Source organism: Homo sapiens, chromosome 5 (assembly GCF_000001405.40).
Source record: "Homo sapiens chromosome 5, GRCh38.p14 Primary Assembly".
In the NCBI taxonomy this organism is placed as follows: Eukaryota; Metazoa; Chordata; class Mammalia; order Primates; family Hominidae; genus Homo; species Homo sapiens.
The window spans coordinates 3,025,060-3,042,420 of NC_000005.10; the positions used below are offsets into that span (position 1 = coordinate 3,025,060).

General features: G+C 48.3%; 1 long non-coding RNA gene across 2 annotated transcripts, besides 1 other annotated feature; it reads left to right on the forward strand.

Moving 5' to 3' along the window:
- Positions 3,927-4,427: an enhancer, noted in NCBI's record as "H3K4me1 hESC enhancer chr5:3029100-3029600 (GRCh37/hg19 assembly coordinates)". NCBI's record gives its function as "activates a minimal SCP1, AML or CMV promoter by ChIP-STARR-seq in primed H9 embryonic stem cells {active_cell/tissue: H9 hESC(primed)}" and the evidence as "EXISTENCE:reporter gene assay evidence [ECO:0000049][PMID:30033119]".
- LOC105374621 (uncharacterized) lies at positions 11,608-16,964 on the forward strand. Of its 2 annotated transcripts, XR_925702.3 has the most exons (3): positions 11,614-11,690; positions 11,798-11,945; positions 16,668-16,964. It is a non-coding gene; the product is annotated as an uncharacterized LOC105374621 (long non-coding RNA). The 2 variants fall into 2 exon arrangements; XR_007059095.1 differs by lacking the exon at positions 11,798-11,945 and having other exon boundaries at positions 11,608-11,690.
- The last annotated feature ends 397 nt before the right edge of the window (positions 16,965-17,361 follow it).

Below are 17,361 nucleotides of genomic sequence, written 5' to 3' on the forward strand. Positions count from 1 at the left end.
GAAGTATCAGGGAACTCAAATGTTTAAAAGTTAAACTTCACATACTTAAAATATTTAGTATGAGACTGTATAACTGGCAGTGCAGCGGTGCCCAGGGGACCTGAGCCATGGAAGTTTCAGGAACACCAGGCCTGCTGCGTGCAGGTGCTCCAAGCGCACCCCCAGCAGTGAGGACTGGACTCTGTAGCCACTCAGGCCGCCTCAGACTGCCATCCAAAGGCCTGGAGAGAGTGGAAATGCTCACTTTCAACAAGCACCCAGGGGCTTCTGAGGGAGAAGTTCCCAAGACTACACTGGGAGGAAATATTACTCTTTATTCCAGTTTTCTTGATGTTAATGACAATTAAAATCCATGTCACAGGGTTGCGGTGAGGAGCAAATTGAAATAAACCTGATAGCACTTTAAAAAGTGCACGGGTGTCCTGCGACTGCTGTAACAAATGACAAAAAACTGGCGATTCACAAAAGCGGAAGTTCATCCTCTCAAAGCTCTGGAGGCCGGAAGTCTAAAAGCCCCATGTCTGCAGGGCTGCACTCTCCAAAGGCTCTGGGGGAGGAAGCGTCTTTGCCTCTTCCAGCTCCCCTTGGCTGCTGTGCTCCTGGGCTCGTGGCCATATCGCTCCAGGCTCTGCCTCTGGGGCCACGTCGTCTCCTCCTCTTCTGTCTGGGTGAAATCTCCTCCACTTTTCTCCTATAAAATATTTGTTCTTGAATTTAGGGCCCACTTGGATAATCCAGGGTGATCCCCCCACCTCAAGATTTTTAACTTAATCATGGAGATAGCTTTTTTCTAAATAAGGTCACATTTACAGGGATTCAGAGGGGGACATATCTCTTTGGGGCCACCATCAACCCACATACTCAGTGCAGGACACACAACTGCAACAATATGACTGTGTCTACTGCCCCGTCACATTCTTTGGTCATGAAAGCCAAGCCGTCTGCACTCCTCTCTGACACGCTTGGCTTGGCCAATTGGCTTCTTCCTGCAGACTACAGAGCGGCTGTTCTGGGAAGCTCCTTTCTGCTGCAGAGACACACAGCCCTTCCCGCACCAGGCCGAGGGTCAGCTCAGCAGGGGCCTTTTCTGGGGAAGGTGCAGTACTCCAACGGTCAGCCGGGCTCCCAGCGCTGTGTCCATGGCTGGCTCTGCCTCCTACTCACCCCTACCCGCCTGGCCTCTCCCTGCTTCTCCTCCTGCTAACCCCTGCCCACCCTGCCTCTCCCTGCTTCTCCTCCTGCACTCCCCCTGGCCTGGCCCTCTGCATCTTGTGTGTGCCTCTCGCTCATCCTTGGGGCCTGCCCTCTGCAGACCTTGCTTTTGAGCCTGGTGCCCCTATGTGGGATCCTCACTGTCCTGGTGGACGTTGACAATTGTGAAACTGCCCAGCAAAGTCTGATGGCGGGTGGCTGCTCCACAGGGCCTGTGTGGTGCCCCCTCACCGTGTCGTGACCTTCCCTCCCATGGGCGGCACTGGCCTTGGGGACAGGCCCAGCACCCTCAGAGACCTCCACACTTGCTACGTTCTCGCATCTGAGGAATGTGGTAGTATGTCATAAACCTGCGAATAGTATAGAAAAGTAAGCTACAAAGTAGAAAATTGCTATGAAAGCAGATTCTTACATAACCATGTCCGATCGCTGCTCATCTGGTCCCTCAGCCTAACCCAGCACAGTCCATTTCACACAGGATCCCACTCTATGCATGGCCAGGGCACAGGTGGTGACCATGCCAGAGGCTGAGCCAGCTTGTTCTAGAATCTGCCATTCATATTCTAGCTGCCCAGATGACTTGCTTGGGACAGCCCCAGGAAGAGGGTGGGGTCATGGTGGAGGGCGGGGCAGGCGCTGTTCCCTCAGACACGGAGTCCACATCTCGGGATGGGAACCCTGAGAGGTGCAGGCCTTGGCCAAAAGAAAGGGGCATTCCTATTCCTCTTCTAGCCCAGAATCGAAGGGAAGCAGGTGATCCACTGGACTCCTAGGGACTGCACGCTCCAGCCCGCGCCAGGGAGCCCCTCACCAGCTTGTGTCGGTCTCTGCCATGCCTATGGCTGGTTCTCCTTCATCATTGTCACCCCAGCCTTCATCCTGCCCCGGATTCAGAGCCCCTTGTTGGTCTTGCATGGCGGGGAGGAGCCCCCAAGACAGCGTGTGTTGAAGGTCACCACGTCTCAGTCCACCGGTGAGGGGCAGTGCCCCCAGCGACATGCGGTGTTTTAAGCAGGTCTGACCCCTGGCCGCCTCCACATGTGCACACCCATGTAAAGTCAGTTTCCTCCCAGGACATGTAGAAGGTTTGGAAGGTGATGCCAAGCGACGTGCCTTCCTCAGCCACAGCCTCCACTGGGCACCCCGAGTGGTGGCCTTTCCCGCTTTTTTTCTGGAACACCCAGCAGGCTCCCTGATGGGGGCAAACGCTGGCCCTGGACACACAGGCCCTGAGTGGCCATCAGTGAGTGCCTGGCATCAGACACAGGATACAAGGACTTATCCCTCAGGGCTCCTGGAAGACAGGACCGGAAAACAGAGTCCCTGAACTGTTTCCTGAAGACGAGCAGAGCAGCTATGGGTGCCCTGGAGGGGACATGGCCCTCTGCCAGGTTTGGGCCATCCAGTTGGATGCCTTGAAGGAGGCGGCAAGCATTTCATTTTTGTGACAACTGAGCATATGCAGCTTGGAATGAAAGGAAGGAGATGTTTTACTTCTTAAATAAACACATGTCCATGTTCCTCTCTCCAGAAGCGTGAAAATGCAATTACATAGAATATATCCTGTGCACTCCAGAGCAGGGGACCCGAGAAGAATCACCTCTGGTGATGGAACCCCTTTCTCAGTCACCTCAAACACGTGGCCTGTGCTGGTCCATCACCACCTGCTGTGGTGGATTCGGGCAGGACCGAGGCCAGGGGCAGTCCGGGCTTTGCCCCATCATCACTCAGGAGGCCAGGTGTGGTCTCCTCTCTGTGCGGAGCCTCCTCACCTTGCTCTGGGCTCGTGGCCGTGGCTCTTCTCTCCATCTGGAGCCGCCTCGCCTCCCTGCGCACTCGTGGCCATGGCTCTCCTCTTTGTGCGGAGCCGCCTCACCTTGCTGTGCGCTCGTGGCCGTGGCTCTTCTCTCCATATGGAGTCGCCTCACCTCCCTGCGCACTCGTGGCCGTGGCTCTCCTCTCTGTGTGGAGTTGCTTCACCTTGCTGTGTGCTCGTGGCCTCCTGTGACTTATCAGAAGCTCCACTGTGAAGGAGCAGAGAGGTGTGTGGAGAGGGAGGATGAGGTGCATCCCATGGGCAGAATTGCCATTTCTCTGCACTCTGGGGAGACCCATCTGCTGATTGTGACCTTACTGAGCCCCTCTGTGCCCCCTGCCCCCAGGCCTGAGTGCCTGTTCCAGGGGAGGAGATGGGTCAGATGCCTCGGGCATGTCCTAGTGCAGCTCTCATGGCACCCAGGGGAGAACATGACCTGACAAAGCCACACGCTCATTGTGGTTCCAAGCAGACCCCTGCCTGGTGGCCTGAGCTCAGACCCTAACCCTGTCCCTCACTGTGGACTTCTTTCCTTAACTTATTTGTGCCTCAGTTTCCTCACCATAAAATGGGATAATTTGCTAAGAGGTTTAATGAGTTAATTCATGTAAAGTGCTTTGAAGAGTACCTGGCTCAGAATGCGCACAAAACTTCCTCTGTGGTGGCGGCGATGGTGGCTGCAGTGGCGGCGGTGATGGTGGTTAATAGGCATGCCAGTTGCAATGATATGCAGAGAGAGCAATGGAGAGCTCAGAGAAATATGGAAGGGCAGCCCCTGTTGCATGGAACAGTCAATGGGGGATGTGAGCAGGAGCAAATGCACACCCAGCAGTCGGGAGGGGGTGTCTCCTGACCTGGGATTCAGGAGAGAGAGCCCAGGACCACACTCAAGGCCTTGATTCCAGACCACGTTCTGGGTTTCATTTTCTGGTGTGAGTTTATGGAGTTCACTGCTTTCTATTTGTCTCAGTTTCTTGTGACAAATAATAGCTGCCTTACCGAGATAAGAAAATGACAAAATGAATGAGAAATTAAATTGAGAAGCTAAAAGCATTGTATAAATTTCTACCATGAAGGCCGCAAATTTAAAATCATCCATCAAAACTTTAGACAAAAGCATAAAATCATCCATGATGTTAAGCCCCAGCCCGAGCCTCCCCTGAGCCCCCAGGCTCTACTAGGAGGAAGGCACTCTCCCTCCTCTCAGGCAGTCATGCCCCCTCCTGGGTATGATGCTCCTGAAGCACGAGGGGCTGCTGCCGATGGCCCCAGAGCCTTGGGCACATGGGAGGTCACGGTGGCAATTGGAGAGAAGACCTCCTCCCCGGATCCGAGGACCTCAGTGGAAAGAGGCCACCTCCTTCCTGCCCTGCAGGCCTGAAGGTGTGAGCAGAAGAAGCAGAAGATGTGGGGAAGCTGAGGCTTGGGCTGGCCCAAGAGGGGCAGGGACCGATGCCTGCTTTGTTCATGGCAGAGTGAAGATTGGAGCTTTCTCTGCTGAGGATGCAGGTGGACCTTCAGGTTGAAGCCCCTCAAGCCCAGAGGCCCGGGAATGGTGCAAGGTGCTCAGCCGAGAACTGTTCCCCCTGGGAGGACTGTGCAGGTGTCCACCAGGTGGGCGTCAAAGGCGAGGGGCGGCTGGTGTGGGAGTGTGGAGGGGGCCATGCAGGAGTTGCTCCTGGACGGAATGAAGAGAGCAGCAGAGGAGAGGTTAAAAAGGAATCCTGCCCGGCGCGGTGGCTCACACCTGTAATCCCAGCACTTCCGGAGGCCGAGGTGGGCAGATCACCTGAGGTCAGGAGTTTGAGACCAGCCTGACCAACATGGAGAAACCCCATCTCTACGCCTGTAGTCCCAGCTACTCAGGAGGCTGAGGCAGGAGAATTGCTTGAACCTGGGAGGCGGAGGTTAGGGTGAGCTGAGATCGTGCCATTGCACTCCACCATTGCACACCATTGCACTGGGCAACAAAAGCAGAACTCTGTCTCAAAAAAAAAAAAAAAGGAATCCAAATACACAGACCTCCAGGAAGGGGGCTGCCAACACCGTGAGAAGCTCTCCTTTTTCATGTGCGTGCCTTCCAGTGGGAATGCAAACCGCCACAGCCTCACTGGAAGTCCACTGGGCAGCTTCCTATGGAACTGGGCACACTCTTACCACACACTCCAACATTCCTGCTCTTTGGTATTCTCCAAATTAACTGAAAACTTCTGTCCACACCAAAACCTGCACACGGATGTTTATAGCAGCTTTATTCATAATTACCGAAACTCAGAAGCAGCCAAGATGCCCCTCAGTCAGCGAGGGGGTGAATTAAGCTGTGCTGCACCCACACAGTGGAATCTTACTCAGCACTAAAAAGAAACGAGCCAGGAGGCTGCGAAAAGGCATGAAGGAGCCTGTCATGAGCACCCCTCAGTGCTATGGACTAAAGGTTTGTGTTGCACCCCAAATTCCTCTGTTGAAATCCCGATCCCCAAGACGATGGTGCTAGTCGTGTGGCCTCTGAGAAGTCATTAGGTCATGAGACTGGCGCCCTCAGGACAGGGTTCGTGTCCTTCTAAGAAGGGAGGGCTTGTCTCCTTAGAACACAATGCAAAGACGCCCTCACCAGGGACAGGAACAGCAATGCCTCGACCGTGTCCTGCCAGCCTCCAGAGCTGCCACAGACAAACTTCTGGGGTTTAAGCCACCAGCCTGTGGTATTTTGTAATGGCGCCCTGAGCTAAGACACTAAGCGGAAGAAGCCAGTGTGAAAGGACAGCATCCCGTATGTTGGACATGCCCGCGATGGTGAATCTTACGTGTCTACTTGTCCGTCTGTGGGGTGGCCAGATACCCAGTTATGATCAATCCTGGGTGTGTCTGTGAAGGGCTTTGGAAGAGAACAACGTTGGAACCAGTCGACAGGGTCGAGCAGATGCCTGCCCTAGTGTGGGTGGCCTCATCCGACCCCTTGAAGGCCCCAGTAGAGAGAAAGACCAATCCTCCAGTGGGTAAGAGCGAGCTCCTCCTGCCCTTCCACTTCCTCCCTTCCACTCCCGCCCCTCCACTCCTGAAACAGCAGCCTCCCAGGCCCCACCTCGCTGACCACAGACCTGTGTCTCCTCAGCCTCCATAACCACAGGAGCCAGTCCCTTGTTGGAAATATATATGTGTGTGTGTGCATCTGCGTATGCACGCATGTGTCTGTGTGCATGTGTGTGTGTGCCTGTGTGTCTGTGCACGTGTGTATGCGCGCCTGTGTGTCTGTGCGTGTGTGCCCGTGTGTCTGTGTGTGCACACATGTCTGTGTGCATGTGTGTGCACCTGTTTGCATGCCTGTGTGCATGTGTGTGCGTGTGTGTCTTATGTGTGCATGTGTGTGTGCCTGTGTGCCTGTACTTACGTGTGTGTCTGTGTGCCTGTGTGCGCACATGTGTGTCTGTGTGCCTGTGCGTGTGTGTGCCTGTGTGCCTGTATGTATGTGTGCGTGTGTGTGTCTGTGTGCGTGCGTCTGTGTGCACCTGTGTGTGTGTGTGTGTGTGTGTGTGTGTGTGTGTGTCCTATGGGTTCTATTTCTCTGGCGCACCCTGACTCATACACCAACTTTATGACTTTCCAACAAAGGCAGAACAATGGAAATGGAAAAGAGATCTTTGGCTGCCAGGGGTTCAGCGGGGAGGCAGTGAGCAGGCCAAGCACCGAGGGTTTCGAGGGTGGTGAAACTGTTCCAAGCGACAGGTAATGGGGGACACATGTCATGATACATTTGTCCAAACCATAGAATGCACAGCACCAAGAGGGACCCGCATGTGCACTGCGGCCTTTGGGTGACAATCACCCGTCACTGTGGCTCATCCCTTGTGACCAAGCTGCCGCACAGAGCAGGGTGTTGATAGAGGGGAGGCTCTGCTTGTGTGGCGATGGGGGTGTGTGGGAGCTCTGCATCTTCTGCTCAATTTTGCTGTGAACCTAAAAGTGCTCTAAAAAGTAAAGTCTATTAAAAATGCTACTTCCCTTAGCCATTTGGGTCATGGAAGTTTCTGGAGGAGAAGGTATTGGGTTAGATCTTCGGAGCCGGGGTGCTGCATCGGCCTGCTGTGTGCTGCGGAGAGCATCCCCCGTGGAGGAGACAGGCAGACTCACACCTCCCACCCACCGTGTGCCCATGAAGGGGGAGACAGTTGAACACTTTTAGTTTTCTTAAGAGAAATTGGAGTACCTCCGTCCCTTTCTTGGATCTTTGAAATTTGGAGAAATTCTGGAATTTATTTCTAAGTTAACATAAATGCATTGAGTCATTTTATCCTAGAAGTATCTCCCTACGTTTGTCTGCACTTAAGTGTTCCTCATATCTGTGAACAGTGATAGAAAGAAAGCATAAAGCTAATATTTCAGAAATTTGTCCAAATAATTGTATTAAGATAGATTTGACTTATTCCCTTTCCAGGAAATAGAGATCCTAAATTTTGCGTTTGAGTCCTCCTTGGCATCCACATTCCTGGCCGCTAAGCCCCCTGTCAGATTGGAGCTGGGTAATCGTGCTATGCGGCATGACTGTGATATTTTACACCCTTTTAATTGGACACACAGTGGCAATCCGACTGCCATTAGCAGGGGTGGCACTGCCAGAAGTATTTTGCTATAATTTATGTGTAAACAGCAGAGTCCAGCCTGGATCTGACCGTGTGGCCTCCACTCTCTCTGTTGTGGTGAATAAAACAGTTTTGAGAAAACTATTTGTTTTTAGATTTTTGTAGCCAGGGCAAAATAAATATGCACAATTATCAATTAGTGTTTCTTACCAATGGTGCTGAAGAAAATGGAGAAAATAACTGGATATTGAGGCCGGACATAGGAAATGGAGGCAGGGTAATCGCACCCCTCACTGCCCTGCGTGCCTGCCGGTGGCCGTTCCTGACCCTCATTTAAACAGTTTGGTTCCATCAGAGTAGTGTGTTTTGAAATAAAATTTTTTCATTGCCATTTTCAAATTGATTTTGAATAGCCGATTCTAACAAAAGACATCGCAGCGCAGCTTTTAACTCCTGCCAGGCTTCAGTTCCATGTTGTGTAAATAGATTGTAGTGTCTGTGTTATTGTTGTAACTGGAGCTGGTACTTGCAAGGTAAAAAGGCTTTAGGCCATTCCACACATGCCTGGCCCAGCCGTTGGCCCATTGCAGCCTCTTCTAGCTTCCGAGGGAATGGGTCTAAATCTGTCTGATTACAGAGTTTTGTATTTGTCTCTTCACTGGTTTAGACATTCTTGCATTACATTAAATACCCCTGGTGGAACTGGTGGGCTATCTGGGGCCCTCTTTCATCAATTATTCACACTTTGTTCAGTCTCCCTGTTTACAGAGCCCCTTAAGGCACGATCGCCTGGCCCCATGTCAAAGGAACCTTCTCTATGCAGGCAAACTTGGGAGTTTGATTGACATTCACTCAAAGCCCACCCTGAGAAACCCCGAACCTCCCCCTTCTGGCATGCACCTGGGGATGCCGGCATGCTGCTCAGATGCAGACCCTCTCCACGGATGCCAACACTCAATACCGTTGCACTGTTCCCATTTGGCCAAAGGCAAGGACATATATAATGGTGCCTCTGTGGTCTCTTCATCACACACCAGCGCACATCAGTGAAAGGGGATCAAATAACTTTCAAGAAATGCCTAAGATGACTGCCTGGGTTTAGAATTGGGAATGAGTGATGGCCGCACAGCACGGGACTTTACAGTGTGTACCTGCCATCAGGGTCCCAGCAAGGTAGATTGACCATTATCTTTCTACACCTGGGGCATTAAGAGGTCATGTGTTTGGCCCTGGGCTCACAGCACACAGAGAGGAAGCTGGATGCAAAATCCGACTCCTGCAAGGGAGTAACTTAGCTTAATAGATGTACAAGAAACATCCATTGAGTAAATTAATGGGGGAACATTTTACAATATTAATGTCCCATTAAAACAGATTTAAAATGACATCCCTTATCCTTGTGGATCTTTTAAGTGCAACACCTGTTTGTCACTAATCCTGTTTAATTTAACAAAAGTGGAATCTATCTTATATAGTCCAGGCTCTCCAAAATGTCATTGGCAAAGTTAGGAAACAGACCAGGATCATGTTAAATCCACAGCCCTGTTTAGGAACCAGCCTGCTCAGCTGCTTTCCTTGACTTGGGATGCATTCCGAGACACAGAGTGTCAGATTTCACGTCCTCAGCCATCGTAACACCTTTATAAAAACTAAGGCCCACTTAATGTATTGTGTTTTTTAATCAAATCTTATTTCAAAGTTACCATTAAAAGTGCTTGAGATATTATTTTAGCACGTAGGTCCCCTGCAGATCCTGGTGGAGGTGGAAAAATCTTGTTGTGTCTAGGCTCCATCTCTATGAAGGGACGGCCCTGGCTAGGTGGGGTCATGTCTCTATGAAGATGGGTCCTTTCTAGGTGAGCCATGTCCCTATGAAAAGGTGGCCCTTGCTAGATGGGGTCATGCCCCTATATGAAGGGGCAGCCCTTGCTAAGTGGGGTCATGTCCCTATGAAGGAGTGGTCCTTGCTAGGTGAGTCATGTCCCTATGAAGAGGTGGTCCTTGCTAGGTGGAGTCATGTCCCTGTGAAGAAGCGGGCCCTTTATAAGTGGGCAGTGTTTCTATGGTGGTAGATCCCTTGCCAGGTGGGTTCTTGTCCCTATAAAGGTGGTGAAGATGAGGGCCCTTGCTGGGTGGGGTCGTGTGCCTATGAAGATGGGCCCTTGCTAGGTAGGGTCATGTCTCTATGGAGATGGGGACTTGGTGAGATGGGGTCATGTCCCTATGAAGATGGGCCCTTGCTAGGTGGGCCATGTCCCTATGAAGAGGTTGTCCTTGCTAGGTGGTGTCATGTCCCTATGAAGAAGCAGGCCCTTTATAAGTGGGCAGTGTTTCTATGGAGGTAGATCCCTTGCCAGGTGGGTTCATGTCCCTATAAAGGTGGTGAAGATGGAGGCCCTTGCTGGGTGGGGTCGTGTCCCTATGAAGAGGGGGGCCCTTTATAAGTGAGTAGTGTTTCTATGGGGTAGATTCCTTGCTAGGAGGGGTCATGTCCCTATAAAAATGAGGCCTATGTTAGGTGGGGTCAGGTCCCTAGGAAGGTGGAACCCTTGCTCTGTGGGGTCCCATCTCTATGGAGGTGGGGTCCTTGCTTCCTGGGAGCCTGGCTGAGCTATTCATCCTCCACATACCTCTGTTTTCTTATCCTTGGGATGAGGTGATAAAATATGCCTTTCTCATCTCCCTGGATGACCATCACATGAAAGATATTTGAAAAAGTATTTAATTCCTCAGGTGGTTTTTCTATCCATGATACAAGAATTTAGCCTAAGACACAAGTGACATTCAGAGGCATTGAGGCAAGCTTCAGGGTAAGCACTCTTCTTTCTTTCTTTGAACTTTTAATTTTTATACAGAAAAGTGCACAGACCAAAGGGTGACTGCATTCTTACAAGGCGAGGACACCATGTAGCCATCTCCTTATCAGAAAGCTCCAGTGTCCTGCCCCCCAGCCACCACGCCAGCCTGGCTGCTGTCCTCACAGCTGACACTACCCAGCAGCCACACCCCACCTGGAGTATATTGAATGGGATCTTGCCGTACGTACCTGGTAGGTCTGAATTTTGTTGCCAATACAGTATCTGTGGCGGTACACATGTCTTTGCTATTGTAGGCAGCTCAGTCTCATGGATATATGAGAGGCCATTGTGGAAATAGACCAGGATGGAAACCTCAGTGTTCTCTGTCTTCGACCACCTTTGACATTTTCTTTTTCCTGTGTCCTGGTGTTCACCTCTCCTCCCCTCCTCTGCCCGGTCCCTCATCCTGGCCTGCCTGCCCTGCCTAGGCCCAGGTGATGCCTGGCCAGTTACTCCCAGGGCTGCAGAGTGAACAGGCCATGCTCTGTCCCCTCTGACAGAGTGGGTCCCCTCATCCAACCCCAGGAAGATGGCGGGAGCCAGAGAATCACTGGTGTAGACCCCTTCACCTGCCCCCTATGCTGCCCTGCAAGGCGGAGGTGGGAGGGGGTCCCACTTCACAAACACTGAGTGGGAGCTGGTGGATGGGCACCTGTGGCTGCAGCCAACCCACTCCTGATGGTCAGTTTCAGGTGTCCAATCAGCCAGGCCAGGTCATTTGGTGGCACGCGAGCCACACGGCGCTGTGTTGTGGATGCGGGTAAAGGCTGTGGTCAGTGGACTACACATAAGGGGGTTTCCACAACTGCGTATGTGGGCTTCCTCCTGTAGTTGAAAGGGCCTCAGAGCAGCATGCAGGCTCCCTGAGGAAGAAGAACCTCTGCCTGAAGGCTGCAGCAGGGGGCCGCCAAAGAGTTCCCGGACAGCCTTGCCCAGAGTCTGGCCTGCAGATCTGAACTCGCCAATCCCCACAGTCACAGAAGCCAACTCATTGAAATAAATCTCTTAAACTGCAGTTATGTGTCACATGACAACTTTTTGGTCAACAAAGGACTGCATATAGCACAGTGATTCTATCAGACTGTAACGGAGCTGAAGATTCCTGTTGCCTCATGATGTAGTAGTCACCCTGGTGATGCTGCTGTAAACAAACCTACCATGCTGCCAGTCATAGAAAAGTCTAGCACCTACGGACATGAGCATAGAAGTACACAGTGCTTGATGATGGTAATAAACCACGGGGTTACTGGTTTATGTATTTACCATACTATACTTTCTATTGTTATTTTAGAGTGTATTCCTTCTGCTTATAAAAACAATCTAACTGTAAACAGCCAAAGGCGGGTTCTTCAGGAGGTGTCCTCCTAGGAGCTGGCAGCTCCATGCCTGTCGTTGACCCTTGACGGCCTTCCAGAGGGACAAGAGGAGGAGGCGAAAGACAGTGACGTGTGTGATCCTGACTCTGTGTAGGCTGAGGCTAAGGTGTGTGTTTGTGTCTTGTTTATTTTTATGTTACTTTATTTATTTATTGTTATTACTGAGCCTTAATAGACTTAATCAGATGAGCTCTCTGGCCTGGCCTCTGTATTTGGGGCCTGTCTTCAGCCAGGGACACATAGGGGATTAAGGTCAGCATCAACTACAAAGCCACGGGGCTGCAGAGTCCCCTGAGGGCAGTGTACTGATGACCCCTTCAGTACTGCATCCTACCTAGGAGGTTGGTAGGCCCAAGTGACTGACAAGAATCATTGTAGCCTTTATGAAAAGTCTTACAGAGATGGGGGCTGAGGGATATTGAAGTCCAGCCATTGCATTCCTGGGAGAGCTCACTGAGTGTCGCAGGTCCTGCTGGGCATTTTTTGCTGCTGTCACAGGTGACTTTCAAAGACCCTCTTTCAGGAGAGCTCTTTTCATTTCACTTTTCTTGCATGTGGATGTCCAGTTGTTCCAGCATCATTTGTTGAAAAAATCTCTTTTCTCCATTTTATTGTCTTTGCTGATTTCCCAGAGATCAGTTGACTCTATTTAGGTCAGTCTGTTTCTGAGCTCTCTGTTCTGTTCCATTGGTCTATCCAGCTGTCATTCCACCAGTACCATACTGTCTTGATTCCTGGAGCTTTACTGTAAACCTGGAAGTCAGGTAATGCTCAGTCCTCTCACTCTGTTCTCCTATATTGTACTGGCTGTTCTGAGTCTCTTGTACTTTCATAAAAAACTTAGAAAAGTTCTTTTTGTCAATATTCATATAATGGTTTGCTGAAATTTTGATTGAGATTGCAACGATTCTATAGATGGAGTTGAGAAGAACCAACATCTTGACAATATTGAGTCTTCCTGTCCATGAACATAGAATATCTCTTCATTGATTTAGTTATTATATTTCTTTCATCAGATTTTTGTAGTTTTTCTCACATAGATCTTGTACATATTTTGTTAAATTTATACTTAAGTTTTTCATTTTGGGGGGTGTTAATGTAAATAATATTATGTTCTTAATTTCATATTCCAATTGTTCATTGCTGGTATATGGGAAAGTGATTGGCTTTTGTATACTAACTTTATTTCATTCAACCTCATGAAAATCCCTCGTTTTGTGGTTGATTATTTCAAGTTTTCTAAATTGACAATCATGTCACCTCCAAACCAACAGTTTCATTTCTTCCTTCCCAATCTGTATGCCTTTTATTTCCTTTTCTTGTCTTACCGTATTAGCTAGGACTTTCAGTACAGTGTTGAAAATCAGTGGTAAGAGGGAATATCCTTGCCTCGTTCTTCATCTTCACAAGCAAGCTTCCACCCTCTCACCATTAAATATGAAGTTAGCTGTGAGTTTTTGTAGATGATATACTTCTTGAAAAAATTTATTTTAGGTTCAGGTGTACATGTGCAAATTTGTTACATCAGTAAATTCATGGAGTTCTTTTGTACAGATTATTTCGTCAACCAGGTATGAAGCCTAGTACCCGATAGAACTAAAGATAAAAACCACATGATCATCTCTATAGATGCAGAAATGGCTTTCAATAAAATTCCACATTCCTTCATATTAAAAACGCTCAGTAAGCTAGGTATCGAAGGAACATACAAAAAATAATAAGATCCGTCTATGACAAACCCACAGTCAATATCATATTGAATGGGCAAAAGCTGGAAGCATTTCCCTTGAAAACTGGCACAAGACAAGGATGTCCTCTCTCCCCACTCCTATTTTATATAGTACTGGGAGCCTTGGTCAGAGCAATCAGAAAAGAGAAAGAAATAAAAGGCACCCAAATAGGAAGAGAGGAAGTCAAAGTATCCCTTTTTTCAGATGACACGATTCTATAGCCAGAAAACCCCATAGTCTCAGCCTAAAAGCTCCTTCAACTGACGAACAACTTCGGCAAAGTTTCAGGATGGAAAATCAGCATACAGCAATCTCTAGCATTCCTATACATCAACAACATTCAAGCTGAGAGCCAAATCAGGAAGGTAGTCCTATTCACAACTGCCACAAAAAGAATAGAATAACTAGGAATACAGCTAACTGAGGGGGTTAAAGACCTCGACAATGAGGATTACAAAACACTGCTCAAATCAATCAGAGATGACACAAACAAATGGAAAAACATTCTGTGTCTTGGTTTTTAACAAGAAAGTTTAAAAAGTAAAAAAGTAAAAACAAAAATATAGAAGCAGCTTATAGACTAAATATAAAGAAAGAAAATATTTTTCTTCCTAATTTTCTTAGTCTATAAACTTTTTAGACTAAAGCTGTACAGTGTTTGTGGTTTAAGCTAAGTATTATTACAAAGGAGTAAAAATGTTAAGAAATTTAAAAAGTTAATAAAAAAGTTACAGCAAACAAGGGCTGATTTATTATTGAAGAAACAATGGTTTTGATAAATGGAGTATGGCCTAAGTGCCCAGTGTTCCTGCAGTCTACGGGCATGTGCAGTAACGTCCCAGGCTTCACAGTCACTCCCCACCCATCCCCTGACTCTCTCAGAGCCACTTCTTGTCCTGCCAGCTTCATTCACGATGAGTGCCCTGTACAGGTGTACTATTTGTTATATTTTATATTGTATTTTTATTGTACCTTTTCTATTCTTAGATACACAAATACTCACCATTGCATTACAATTGCCTGCTATTCAGTACAGTAACATGCTGTAGAGGTTTGTAGCCTAGGAGCCATGGGCTACGCCATAGGCTATGCCATCTAGCCTAGGTGTGTAGTGTAGTAGGCTGTACCCTCTAGGTTTGTGTGAGTGCACTCTATGTTTGCACAATGATGAAATCACCTAATGAGATGTTTCTAGAACATATCCCTTTCACCAAAGGACACATGACTGTAAATCTGTTTCTGTGTGTGTGTGAGTGTGTGTGTGTGTGTGTGTGTATCTGTATGTGGTACATGTGCATGTATATATTATATATATATTGTATTCTATATGTATAGATAGTAGATGATGTATAGATATAGAGATAGATGCCCTCTCTACTGGCCCTGTTCTCTGGAGAACACTGACCTTACATAATGGCTGACCAGATGCTGTGGGCCGTCTGCATGCACAGTCCATGGGGTGTGTGTGTGTGTGTGTGTGTGTGTGTGTGTGTGTGTGTTGCATGTTTGGGTGTATCTGTATGTGGTACATGTGCATAGATATATAATGCATTATATATGTATAGATAGTAGATGATGTGTAGATATAGAGATAGATGCCCTCTTTACTGGCCCTGTTCTCTGGGGAACCCTGACCGGATGCTATGGGCCATCTGCATGCACAGTCCACGGTGTGTGTGTGTGTGTGTGTGTGTGTGTGGTGTGTGTGTGTGTGTGTGGTGTGTGTTGCATGTTTGGGTGTATCTGTATGTGGTACATGTGCATAGATATATAATGTATTATATATGTATAGGTAGGGGATGATGCATAGATATAGAGATAGATGCCCTCTCTACTGGCCCTGTTCTCTGGAGAACACTGACCATACATAATGTCTGACCAGATGCTGTGGGCTGTCTGCATGCACAGTCCATGATGTGTGTGTGTGTGTGTGCATGTTTGGGTGTATCTGTATGTGGTACATGTGCATAGATATATAATATATTCTATATGTATACATAGTAGATGATGCATAGATATATAGATAGATGCCCTCCCTACTGGCCCTGTTCTCTGGGGAATCCTGACCGGATGCTGTGGGCCATCTGCATGCACAATCCACGCTCTCTTCATCTTGCAGTTCAACATGTGCCGTGCACACATCTCATACACTTTCCTCGTCTTACTCTATGGCAGCTGATCCCCACACATATGTGGCTCAGTATTTCACTCACCAGACCTCCGCCTTTACTGCTCAGGCTTCCTGGGTCTTGAATGTATTTTCTGTATTAAAAAAATAAGATCCTAATTGGATGGAATTGTATCTATGACTAGATGGCTTCTCCTTGGAAGGGTTTGTATTGAGGTTAAGTATGCGGCCACCCATAGCATTTGAGGTTGTGGTGTGTCCTGCAAAGATGTTTAGAGGAGCTTGTTGTTTGGCTAACAAAAGGCCATATAATGAATCAAAACTTCAGGCAATAATGAGAACCTAAATAGAGTTCAACATTTTTATAACTAAGCTAAAGCAGTTTTTACAGAGGCAGCTGAGAAACCGGTTTGAACTGTTTGGATACCATTTCCTGACGTGGGGAAACCTGTCCCTATGATGTATTTTGAAATTCGAGGTAAAATATGATGCAGGCTGCTGGTTTATAACTACCCTGTTATTCATCCTTTCATCTGCTCTGAGGATCAACATTTCTGAATTTATGGGATACATATGTCTGAGCTCTCACTCAGTGGGGGAACAACACAATTTAAAACTAGGAAACGGGACTGCAGCTTTGCCAGGAGATGGATTCTAGTGTGAGGAATATGCAGACACCATTTTTGTGTTTTAAAGAGATGTACTTAAAGCAGTAGGATTTCAACTTAAAGGCCGATAAAGCACAGTGAAGAGTTATCAGAAAGGCTTATCTGAAAACAGTTGGATTTTGCTACAAGATGGGTAGATTTGGGGGGTCATTTCTTGCGGCCACTTCAAACACACTCCAATATTGGAAAGCATCTACAGGGCTAGAACTGTGTGATTCTTGTATATTGACTTAATTTTTCAAGTGTGCAAATTAAGAATTTGGGGAGCGCTAAGTAAATAAAGCTCTTGCTTTTCCTCCCAGCTCTGCAGTGAGAGTGGAGTCAGCGTTTCTTCTTGCTATTGAGCTTCGGGATAGGCATCTATCACTTGCGCTCACACAGTTCCTTCCGTTGAACATCTGCAAGGTGACACAGATTTGAGGGACCGTCACACTTGATTAGAGCCCACTTGGGTGCTCCTGGAACCTGGAACAGACAAACTCCAAGAGGAGATTGAAGATTTTCCGCATCCTGGGACTCCAGGCCGAATCACTTTGTGTGGCCTCGGAGGGAACACCTATCCAATGCTGCCAAGAAATAAACCTTTCAGGGAAAAGGGAGTTTGATTGTAATTCAGTCGCAATTTATTCTGTTGTATTTTGGCCATTTCATTTGCTTGACAGACTCTTATTCAATGGCCATGCGTAAGCCACTCGTGTTCTAAAGACCAGTGGGCAGGGACAGGCGGATAAGAAACGAGAACATTTCTGTCTACGAAGGTCCAAGGTGTTGTGGGGTGTGGAGGAAGGGCTTCCTCATTCCACTCAGACATGTCGAGAAGGCAATAGTTGAGGCAACAGCTGGAGGACATGGAGGCAGGCAAGGGACGTTCTAGACAAGGAAAGCAGCGTGTTACTTTCACCAGGTAGCTCATGGAAGAACAGTCTGAAGTGACATCATCAATTCCACACCTGTCCGTAAAAAGCCTGAGTGATAGACCTGTGAGATGAACCAGGG